We start from the raw sequence: 12,204 nt of genomic DNA, 5'->3' as shown, positions 1-12,204 counted from the left end.
TAAATCCATCATTGCATGGTACTGTGTTATTGAGGGTGCATACATTAAGGAACTGTCAAAACAGAATTTTGCATGTAATTTATATTCATCCATATAAATTACATCTGGCTAAGGAAGTTATGGCAGTTTTCTAAACAAGGAGCCTGAGCTGGCTAGGCTTCTATCTGTCTAGGATTTTTCCTGCATTTAATATTCTACAAATAAACACAAGCATAAGAGGAAAGGAAGGACTTAGTGAAGCCCGATTCTTGCATGTTTCCTGTTCTCTTGGTAGTTCAGTATAATTGCATGCCAGCAGGTTCCTACTCATTCTTTGGTTTGGGATCGTTGGTTTAAATGGTACTCCTTTGGCTGTCCTCCTAAAGTTTCTACTGCAAATCCAACAGAGTAAATAAACTTTAAAGAATGTCCACATTGGAGATGCTGAGATAAAAACTAAATAAATGTAAGTCCAGCACATAGTAGCGACTGCTCATGAAATCTAGAGATGATTTTGAAAATCTGTGATGCAGTTAGAACAAAACTAGCATGAATTTCCATCCACTATTTTGTTTCTCTGGAGCAGAGGCTAATCTGTTACCATATCTGAGAGAACCTTTTTATTTTGTATTCACTCAACCCTCTAGGATGGTAAAACAAAACAAACTTCTTAATATGTGTCTATCGTGCAGTCTTTTTTTTCCTCCCCTTTTTCTTTTTTGGAACACTGCCAAGCTGAAACTTGCTCAACCAAGAATGTCTGTTTACAGCACTGCTGTCACCTGCCTCTCAGACAATGCAGAGGCTTGTATTTTTTAAACATAATCTTCCTAATATCCAAAGCTGTTTTAAAGTGTTCTTTGTATTAAATACAGCTATAATTGTGTTTCTGGCAGCAGTTCTGGGACTTACTAGTAATTCTGTAATCATAACATAATTATTTTGAATCTGTGGGAATTTCTTTAGAATAAATTTCACTCATTAATTTCACTATAAATGTCTCAAGTATTCTTTAGTTGAATCAGTTTGATTAGTCAGCAGTCATTATTGAAGTAGTTTTATGTATACCTAATGGATACTTTTTGGCATGAAAAACCAGAGGTACTTTATTAAATGTTAGAGTAATTGTACAATGTCTTTGATGAATTTTTCAAGTTTTTTATGAGAGGAAACTGCTATTGTATAGTGTAGCTTTTTCGAACTTGGTTTTTTTTGTTTGTTTGTTTGTTTGTTTTTAGCAGAGTGCTTTTTCCAAACAGACTCTTACATGGTTCTCCAATACATAGATCAGTTAAAAGGCTGGCTTCCTTGAGTGGGTGGAGGGAGGGGCATAGGGATGTGGAGGGAGGGGCATTAGGATGTGGAGGGAGGGGCATAGGGATGTGGAGGGAGGAGGTATAGGAGAGGGAGGTTTAGGGGTGTGGTGAGAGAGGTATGGGGAGTGTTGTAGTGGTACCATGAAGATCCCCTGGTATCAGTTGTAAACCATTGCCTCTTGGTTCCTGTGTGATTTCCGTGGGGTAGGTTGATAGGTCCAGTGTTATTCTCAGAATACAGATAAAGAAACTGAAGCTCAGCATAATTTGCCTAAGAAAACAAACCAGGTGAGAAGTGAAATGAGACTTTAAACCCAAGTCATTTGGTCCCAAATCTAGATTTTTTCTGAACCTGGTTTTTATTTACCTGACTCATATGATTTTTTTTTTTTTTTTCTGAAACAGAGTCTTGCTCTGTTGCCCAGGCTGGAATGCAGTGGTGCAATCTCAGCTCACTGCATCCTCCACTTCCCAGGTGCAAACCATTCTTCTACCTCAGCTTCCTGTAGCTGGGACTAGAGGTGTGCGCCATCATGCCCAGCTAATTTTTGTATTTTTAGTAGAGATGGGGATTCACCATATTGGCCAGGCTGGTCTCAAACTCCTGACCTTGTGATCCGCCTGCCTTGGCCTCCCAAAGTGCTGGAATTATAGGCATGAGCCATCACACCCAGCCGACTCAATTGATTTTAAGTGGGTATGATTATATATATATATATATATATAAAGGTAACAAAATTATGAATAAATATATGATTTACATTTATGTATGAAAGTACCTCTTCCGCCCCTCCACTGCCTTTCTTTATGAAGAGATTGCCTCATTTTTTCCTAGATATTTAGGTTCAGTAATGCAAACTTCAATGGATAATTCATTTGTGTTAAGCTTTAAAAATTGAATATATTAACAGAATAAATATTTAATAGCAGAATTTTCATATAAATATATTGTGGTATAGTTTGACTTTAAAAGCTTTAACCACATATAAAAGATATTCTACATATGCACATATAGATGTTAGCCCACAATGTTAAACCAAGTACCCATACATTTCTTAGATATTTGTAGTCCTGTCTTCTTGACATCTATATTAAAACTTAATTAATTGGCAATTGTTGCCTCGTGGGTTAGATACTTCGTTTAGATAAATTTTTCACCTGTGGCCAAATTGCCATTCCTAGGTTTGTCTGTGTTGAGATATATCATAAATTATGTTTTGATTCTAGCCAAAAGGCAACTTAGAAGCACACCAAGGTGCTGCAGGCTATCAGTAGCTCCTCTGTGCCTCCTGCCACTCCTATAGTATGGAAGACATTCTAGATAAGTCAAATAAAGGCTACTCTTGAGTCCAGCTTAAAACTTTTCAAAAAGCCTTAATACTCAGACTCTATTTCATGAGATTGCTTACTGACAAAGTGGAATGCTTGGGTCTTGTACTTGGGTCTGAGCTTGAAGAAGTATAATGCAGTCTGTAGCCTTATAGAGATAAGCCTTCTCTTTTGCAATAATGGTATCCTGATATTTAGGTTTAATAATAGGAGCACCTTATTATTTATTGAATGACTACTATATTCTAAAAACGTGGCTAGGTATTCTATATATATGTTCTTTGACTCATCATAATCTTGCAGAGAATGTGGTTTTATTCTCATTTTATTGCATGTGTAAGATAACTGCAACCCACAGAGGTTTAGAAACTCACTCAGGGTTGCTTAGTTCATAAGTGGAGGAGCTAGTCTGAACCTAGGTCTGATCCTGCCAGCTGTGCTCTTTGTGAGCTGCTGTGAACTTACAGTCTTTAAGGAGATGGGAATGTTTTACTAAGTGTTTTGAGTGTATTTGGAATATTAATAAGTTCTTATGGAAACAAAGTTTGGGTGTACATGGAACCAGGAGTTTTTCAGAGCTAAAAGAAGGTAGTACATTTTATTTAAATAAATTGTCAGAAAGAGAAAAGGGCTAAAAACAAAGCTGAAAATGTGATAGAAACCTAGAATTTTTATTTCTAGGAGGGTTACTCATTCAAGCCAGTCTTCTTATTATCTTTGAGGAAACAGAGGCTTATGAGTCAAGTATGTCATTTACCCAGAGCTTTGACCACATCTCCTGTCTTCTAGTCCTGTGCTCTTTCCACTGTAATATGCTATTACCTTTAGATTATGATCTTAATGGCTGGGGGAATGGACAGGCAAAAGAATGGAAGCTGTTAGTGAGCAGGTTGTTGAGATGAATGGTTGGAGCAGGTCTAGTTTGATTGCTTCCCTGCGTGAGATTGGATAAGTTCTGAGTTGAGGTATCAGGCTATGCAAGAATTTGTAGTGCAAGGAAACTTGTAGTTTGATATTAATGTTTTATACAAATAGATTTTGACACATACAAATATGTGTCAGTGACATTTGAGGCGATGGTTAATATTCTGCACAGGAAAATGAGGCTGTTGTATTTACATTTTTTAAAGAAAATAACTATTTTCAGTAAAAATTAAATAAAGTTCTAGGTGCAGGTACTATTTTAAGCTCTGGGAGCCCAAGATGGAGAAGATACTCTCCATGCCCTTGAGGAATGTATATATTCTAGTACCAGGATAGATGTATATATAAATGAGTACAATACGTGTACCTTTTTTTAACCATAGGGGCATTATTACTTCAATATTACAGTTGTGAATTCTCTGGAAGCTTCTCAGAGTAGTTGGTATGTAATAAATGTTCCCAGTTTGAGTGGGGTCCTTTCACTATGAATGCAAACATGGATGACGGCAGTGTGAATATCAGCTCAGTAGCACAGACTGAACAAATGTCTTCTATGTAGAAGGAACTGGGCTGGATTCTGGGACACACCAAGCCGGTGACACACAGCCTGCTCTCACTGAGTATAGGACTCAAGAGGGGAGAATACACAACTCACTGTAGTGTGTCAGACAAGTTAGGTGCTGAAGGGACACAAGGTACAGCAACAGCACAGAGTGGAGAGCCTGGTGTGGGGTTTGGGGAGGGTGATGGGGTCATAGGAATGTAGGGCTGAGGAGCTCTGCGTAGATAGAGAAGGTAACATTCGACGTGAGCCTAAAGGGATGATTAATATTTTTCAAAGAGAAGCACATCAGAGGCACAGGGAACATTAGGAAAATGGTAAATGTGACCAGAGATTAAAAAGCATAGCTTTTTAATTGCTGAAGATGGGGTTGAGAAAGCATCTGGGGACCCCATTGTGAAGGGAGTGGGATGTTATTCAGAGGGAATATGAAGTAATGCTTTAAGCTGGGTAATGACATGATGCCTGTTTCAGAAAGAGAAGACTAGTTTGGAGATGGTTATAATATTCCAAATAAGGGATCACGTGTCCCTGAAGAAGCACAGAAGGAAGAAATGAGAGACTTTTGCCAAAATAGAGTTCAGATAGGAGCAAGGGGTTGGAAGCATTGAAGATAACTGAGGATTCTATCAAGGGTGACTGAGGAGGAGGAGAAGCAGGGCAGCAAGTGTTGGGCTTGTTACAGACATCATGAAATTGAAGACCTTGCCTTTGTAGGCCTTCAGTGTGAAGATGATTAGCAAGTAGCTGGAGATGTAGGTATTGGTACAGGGGAGAAGTCAGGTGTTTCTAATTATTTAGAGAGCTAAACCAGCTCATAGAAAGTAATTGAAGCTCCAGGACAGAGTAGATTACTGGGGAGGGTAAAAAGTAAGACGAAAAATATGCTAGTCAGAAACTTGAGGAACACTGTGATTAAGGGACAACCAGAGGAGATAGTGGGTAGTTTTAAGAATGAGGACATGGCCAGGTGTGGTGGCTCATGCCTGTAATCCCAGCACTTTGGGAGGCCGAGGCAGGCAGATCACGAGGTCAGGAGATTGAGACCATCCTGGCCAGCATGGTGAAACCATGTCTATACTAAAATACAAAAAATTAGCTGGGCATGGTGGCACACGCCTGTAGTCCCAGCTACTTGGGAGGCTGAGGCAGGGGAATCGCTTGAACCCAGGAGGTGGAGGTTGCAGTGAGCTGAGATTGCGCCACTGCACTCCAGCCTGGCGACAGAGTAAGACCGTGTCACCAAAAAAAAAAAAAAAACAGTTGACATATATTTCAGCATGCATCAGAATCATATGGATTGCTGGGCCGCCAGCCTAGAGTTTTTCCACAGAATTTGCATTTCCAGCAAGTTTCCAGGTAATGTTGATACTGCTAGTCCAGCACTTAAACTTTGAGAACCACTGGCTTAGAGTTTAGTTGATAATGGTAATTGTGGGTTGCAAGTTAGAGAGGGAGAAGGAGTATCTAAGAAGGGACTGAAGGACCGTGCCAGGGAATGAGGTTCCAGTAAAGGCAAAGCAGATGAATTAGGTAGAAAGACTTGGGGTGAGTGGAAGAATTGTATCAGGGAGTAGAATTCTAGATTATGAAGTTGTGGAGGCGGAACTTTCAGGCAATGTCTATAACATGACATACAGCAGTCTTACTCCAAGTGCATTGATATACAAAGAGATAAGGAGTGTGTGCCTGAATGTAACTCAGTGTACTACTTTCCTTATGGAGAAATTCTTGTCCCCGACTACCCCCAGCAAAAGCCATCTGGACAAAACTGTTTTGTTGTTGTTTTTAAGAGACAGGGTCTTGCTCTGTCACCCAGGTTAAACCGCAGTGGTGTGATTATAGCCCACTTCAGCCTCAAACTCCTGGGCTCAAACAATCCTCTTGTCTCAGCATCCCTAGTAGCTCTGGGACTAAAGGTGTGTGTCAACATGCCGGCCAGTACAAAACTGTGTTTAGTCATGAAGCTGATTTGTATTCTGGCACAAGCTCCTTATCTTTACGTGGACCAAAATAAACAGTTCATGGATTGGCACTGTGTACAGACCAGACCTGGTACACAGGCCATGACTGAAGCAGCACTGGCCTAGAGTATAGATTTCTGAAGTGCATCAAGTTAGAGGTCCCAGGGTGTTGTTTGGACCATCAGGAGAAGAGTTCTGCAGAAATGGAAGAAAGGGATGTTTCTGGAGACTGGTAGATGATCACAGGACAAGAATGAGTGGTGAGCATTAGATCCGTATGGCCTCAGGTCAAAGACTATGAAGCGCTGTTGAATGGTCTCCAGCTACACAGGAAAGCAAGCAGAAAAGTCTGTTGGCCTTGCAGGTATTAAGTACTTAGGTGGGGTCTGTGAGAAGGAATCGTCTTCTCTTAGCAACAGACATCAGTGACAGCGTCACTGGTCTTTATTTCTGTAACCTTTTTAGGCAAATTATGTTGTTATTTTTTACATCTCATCTCAACAAAGGCTACACAGGAACAAAATTCTCTCAGTTGATTGGCATGTTCAAACAATAGACTGATGGAAGAGACATTCTTAGGACTTCTGTTATGAAATAAGGAGGAGAAGTCTGTAAGAGGTAGAGTATTAACTGTGAATGTGGAAGTTAAAGGACTAGATAAGCCATTGTTGGGATAAAATTTGCTTCTAAGAAGCATATATTAGACCATCTTTTAAATTTTTTATTATCTGTAGCAACTATTTTCACAAACTAGAACTCCAGTTATTTAAGTCTAAGCATCTTTTTATAAATGTGTAACGCATTGTACCCTAGTCTGTTTGGTAATCCCATGAAAATATTAATTATGATTTCCTGAAGTATCTTTAGTAAATAAAAACATATACATAAGAAAATAAAATCATTCTTATGTATAATTTTCCTCTGCTGTTTAATATTCAGCCTAATGGTCATAGTCAAAGGCTGTGGAGGCTATTGACTGAAAGTCCTGAGCTATAGGAATGGGCAGTAAGAAAAGGGACAGAAGAAACTTGTGGTTGAGAATGCAGGCTCTGAGCAAACCTGAATTCATGTGATGGCTTTACTACTTACAGACGCTGGCTTTGGCCAAGTTCAGGAGTCTTGGGCTCTGTTTCCTCATCTTTAAAACAGGATAGCATTATTATTCATGGAGTTGTTATAAGAATTAAATGAGCTTTTTTACAGTATTAAGCCCAGAATCTGCCACGTAATAAACACTCCATAATTTTTAGCTATTGTTATCATTAACATTATTGTTGTTATTAAGGGAAAGCATAGGCTTTGATTCACAAAAATCTGGATTTGCGTCTTATTTTTATTAGTTCAAGAAGTTACATGACCTCAGGTAAGCCATTTACTGTCTCAGCCTTCTGGTACTAATGGGAATGGTAGCAGCTACCTTCTGGTGTTATTGTGAGAATTAATGGTCTACTTGTGTAACACATTCAGTATAATTCTGTGACATGGTCTTGGCTAGCAAATGTTTGCTTTCCTTCCAGCCCTTAATTTTAGGTTTCTTTTTTTTCTAGTCAGGCCTTGAAAAGAGGATAGACCAGGCTGTGGAGGAGTGGAATATTGAGAAGGCTGAGGAACTCAGCAACCAGCTAGCTACTCGAGAGGTGAGTCAAAAGGGTTACACATTTTCTGTATTTTCAAATTTTCTAGAATAAATTTGTATTCTTTTTATGATCATTAATAAGTTCAGTATTAAAATATTTCATCTGAGGTTTTCCTTTTTGTCCATTTTCTTCTCTTTTATTCTGTCATTTATTTTGAAATGCTAGGTTTTATTTTGTCTTTAATGTTTTTAAATCATTCTGGTCTAAAACTTGCTAGAAATAATCCATGATTGATACTGAACCTTAGATTTTACCTGGATCAGAGAGGTTTGTTTCAGGTATGATTAAAATGCTAGCTTTCTTTTCCGTTTGCATCTTTAACTCATTTGAACTCTGAGGGCAACTGTGTATTCTAAGGCCACATCCCTGAACCTTTTCTTAACCCTTGGTAAAATGCTTTCTTACTGTTTGCTCAGCACATCCCCCTCAGCCCTAAAGAATTTTGGGTCTTTTTTCTTTTTTTCTATAGTATAAAACTAATAGATATATTGGGTATTCTTTTGCCAAGTACAGAAGGCCACAAGAAGATTCTGAATTATACTCCTGGAGGTGGGGTGTGGGCAAATTCCCCCAGTTGAGAATTAATGTCAATATAGATTAAAGAGCTCATATTGGCATGTGTTTTGTTATTATTGTTGTTGCTTTGTAATTCCTTTTTTTCCTTTCTAGGAAAAAATCTCCACCATAGTCTTTTTTTTTAGTGCCTTGATCCTTCCCTCCTTCACCTCAGACTTTAACTACTCCATAGTGTTTCGTTACGTAGAGAGCATCATGGGTTATCTGGGTAAATTACTGGCCACACTCACTATTCTGACTTGCAGGTGGACTTTTTATCCTAAACTGAGACCAGAGATAACTGTGATTTCAGCAAATTCTTCTATGGAAATACTGTTGCACTCTTCCATCATTATATCTGATGTAAAAATATCTACTGTGGATGGATGTTTGTTGTGATTTTTGCGTTTTTCGTTTTGTCTTTTTCTTTTTGGCTGCAGGCTTTAAGTATCTTGTGAATTTTTTATTTTGGCGTAGGGAAAAAACAAGTTGAGAAAGGGGATTCAGAAATTATATTTTTTTCTTTAAACCTTTTAAAATCATTTGTCACATTAAATACTTCTGTGTTTAATGTGTGTGTATGTGTTTGTGTGTGTGTGTGAGAGAGAATATATATTAATGACTAATATAAAGGAAATTATAAAGCCATGGACTTCATTTAGGGAAATAGCCAAGAAATAACATAAATGGCAGTTATATGGCCTTTCAGAAAATAAGCTGACATTTTATATAAGGTTTTTAAATTGTAAAATGTACATAACATAAAATTTACTGTCTTAATCATTTTTAGCTGTGCAGTTCGGTAGAATTAAGTGCATTTACATTGCTGTCCAACCATCACTACCCTCCTCCAAAACTTTTTGTCTTGCAGAACTGAAACTCTGTACCCATTAACCTCTGTACCCATTCTCCCCTCCACCCAGCCTTGGACAGCCACTCTTCTGTCTCCATGAATTTGACTGCTATGGGTATCTCATATAAGGGGAATTATTTAATATTTGTCCATTTGCATCTGGCATATTTCACTTAACATAGTGTCCTCAAATTTACTCCATGTTGCTGCAGCATGTGTCAGAATTCCTTTCCTTTTTAAGGCTGAATAATACTCCATTGTATGTACTTGTTACATTCTGGGTTTGTATTGCATTTTGCTTATGTAGTCATCTTTCAGTGGACACTTGGGTTACTTCTACCTTCTGACCATTACGAATAATGCTGCTATGAATATTGGTGTACAAATATCTGTTTGAATGCCTGCTTTCAGTTCTTTTGGGTATGTACCCGGAAGTGAAAGTGCTAGATAGATCACAAAGTATTTTTACTGTTTGTTTTTTTTCTTGTAAGATACAGTTCTCCCCTTCCCATCTTATAAGTTCTTGTGCTTGCAGTTTGACTATTACTCTGTTTCATCTCTAAGGTAGCCTTATTTTGATTCACTGAGTATAGCTTTCATTGTGTATAACAGCATTTTATTAATCTATTTTGGAATAGAAAGGTACAGGTATCTCATTTTAATAAAGTGAATTTGAAAGTGTGTTGAATGGTGCCATAAACTCAGTAGGATTTCAGTGTTAGTTGTTATTACAGTGGCTTCTTCTATATGAATAAACTAGGAGTTCTTCTCCCTATGAAGAGCTCTGTGCCGAAAATCATCTTTAAAATTCTATTCAACAAACGTAATATCTTTTGTTTGTTAGTAAGTAGACTCTTTTGGCACTTGGAACTTTTATTTCCATAGAAAGTCTTTTAGAAATAGTAGCTTCATTTCTTATCCAGCTTGGAAGTATAGTTACTTTCAAGTATAGTATATACTTTCAAGTAATTGTACTTGAAAGTATAGCAAAATTATACCAGTAGAATATCTGATCTCCAAATTTTGGAGACTTGACCATGAAAATGTCAGGAAATGGTAGAGAGGGGCAGTACCTGTGAGGTTGGGAGAGACTCCAGTGCGTAGATAACCTTTCATGGCTCTAAGGATGGGGGAGTATAGTGAGGAGTGGCTCAAGATTTAAGGGAGCTTTCAGGGACTGAAAAGCACACAAGGCAGCAGTAACCAGTCCTTAGGGATGCAGAAGGTGGTGGCAGTCTGGTCTGAATATCTACCTCATTTGGATCAGAAACAGAACCTTCTAGATAACTGATACTTAAGTGCATTACTAGTGATGATAAAGCATTCCATGTCCTGCTGTATGTTGAACAAGTGTCTCTTGAATCCCTTTAACAATTCTGGAAATGTGTTACCAGTTGCTGTTAGATGCTAGCTGCTCTGGAGTCTGTGAGATAGTTCCGAGTAAAGCGTAAGACAGGCACATAAGAAAAACCAGCAGGGACATAGAGTATGGCTGCCCTATTGTTCTTAGAAATGGTATGGATTTTTTCTCTTCGCTGGTCTCTTTAGGATCACAGGACTCAACAAGCTGGTGTCCTATTGCTGTTGCTTGTCCAGTCTTCCTTTTGGAAGATCCCAGAGTTGCGTATTTTGTGATCTCTTCCAAGTAGCAAGTGACTGACCAACAGAATCCCCCAAGTCAGTCAGTTTCCTCAGATTTTGCTTTGCTAAAGGAAGAAAAGGTAAGGGAAAGCCTAGTCTTCAGGGTTAAAATGTGGACTCCATGTGATCCGTGCACAACTGTCCATCTTTTTATCTTTTTCTGCTTATTAGTACCCCCATCTGAAACAAGGGGAATTCACAGAGAAGCATTTATTTTACTGCAGGTTCTATGTTCCTTTTAGTAGAGTTAGTAATGCTGAAGTTTTGAGTTGAACACATTTTACTTAAAAAAACAACAACACCCTTTATATTTTGCAATTATTTCAGACTTTCAAAAAGTTGAGAAATTTGGAAAAAGATTTCCTATTTACCTTTCCCTCAGATACCAGAAATGCTAACATTTTACAACATTTGCCTTCATGTTTTCTAATTTGACATACTTTATTTAAATTTACCAGTTGTCCCACTAATTCCCTTTATAGCAAAAGAAACTTCTTTTTCCTAGTCAATGACTTTGCATTTTGTCGTCATGTTTCTTTAGTTTTTTTAATCTGGAATGGTTCCTCAGTTTTTCTTTGTTTCTCAGGACCTTAATATTTCTGAAGAGGCCAGTTACTTTGTAGCATGTCCCTTATAATTTTGATTTGTCTGCTGTTTCCTCATGATTAGTTTTAGGTTATGCATTTTTGGCAGGAAAATCATGGGAGTAATGTTGTGTGTTTCTCAGTGTCAGCGATCCAGAGACTCGTGCTGTCTCTTTGTCCCTTTCCTGATGGTGTTACTTCGATTAACTACTTCAGGTAGTGTCTCCAGATTTCTCCACTGTGATGTTATTGTTTCTTTCTTTGGAATAAATAAGTGTCTTGTGGGGAGTTAGGAGATAATCTGAGACTGTGTAAATGTTCTCTTTCTCATGTTTTCCCTGTTTGTTTTAGTGTCCACTGCTGATTTTCTTGCTTGTGACAGTTTTTATTATGGTGACTGCCAAATGACTTTTGATCTTTAAAATATGATCTCATTGTACTTTTAATCATCACCCAGCAAACTAAATCTAAAACTTGGCTTAAGTGAGCTGTTGGATTATAGAATCTTTTGTGTGCCTTTGCTAAATTTCTCAGTAAATCTGGACAATTGGGACTTGGATAAAGTTTTCCTAAATGATGCACTGGCCTGGTGTAGGGTCACCATGTGACATTCTGCCCACCAGCGGTTGCATATGAACTCTGTCCTTGTCTACCTCGCTACTATTCACTACAAGCTTTCCTTTCTATGTGCAGTTTGAAGCTGTTTGTCAAAACATACAGAACTAGCGCCTTAGAGGTTTCAGAAATGTGAGTTTCCTTTGAGGATATTAGGATTCTTTTTTTTTTTTTTTTTTTTGCTTTGTCATACTGCAGTTTTAGAAATGGGAATTGTATGATACTGACTAGATGTTTTCCATTTT

The 12,204-nt window shown here is 38.1% G+C and overlaps 1 protein-coding gene across 5 annotated transcripts in view; it reads left to right on the top strand.

Moving 5' to 3' along the window:
* FAM204A (family with sequence similarity 204 member A) overlaps positions 1 to 12,204 on the top strand; it is a 44,400-nt gene that overhangs the window by 8,460 nt on the left and 23,736 nt on the right. For 4 of the 5 annotated variants that reach the window (NM_001134672.2, NM_022063.3, XM_005270024.2 and 1 more), the window contains one exon: positions 7,622 to 7,711. In NM_001134672.2, coding sequence (NP_001128144.1) covers positions 7,622 to 7,711 — 90 coding nt within the window. Of the gene's footprint in view, positions 1 to 7,621; positions 7,712 to 11,453; positions 11,561 to 12,204 lie in introns of all 5 variants that reach the window. The other variant, XM_047425618.1, reaches the window with a different exon arrangement.

This window comes from Homo sapiens, chromosome 10 (assembly GCF_000001405.40).
Source record: "Homo sapiens chromosome 10, GRCh38.p14 Primary Assembly".
In the NCBI taxonomy this organism is placed as follows: Eukaryota; Metazoa; Chordata; class Mammalia; order Primates; family Hominidae; genus Homo; species Homo sapiens.
Note: the sequence above shows the minus strand (reverse complement) of the source record. Positions and strands in the feature narration are given on the sequence as shown.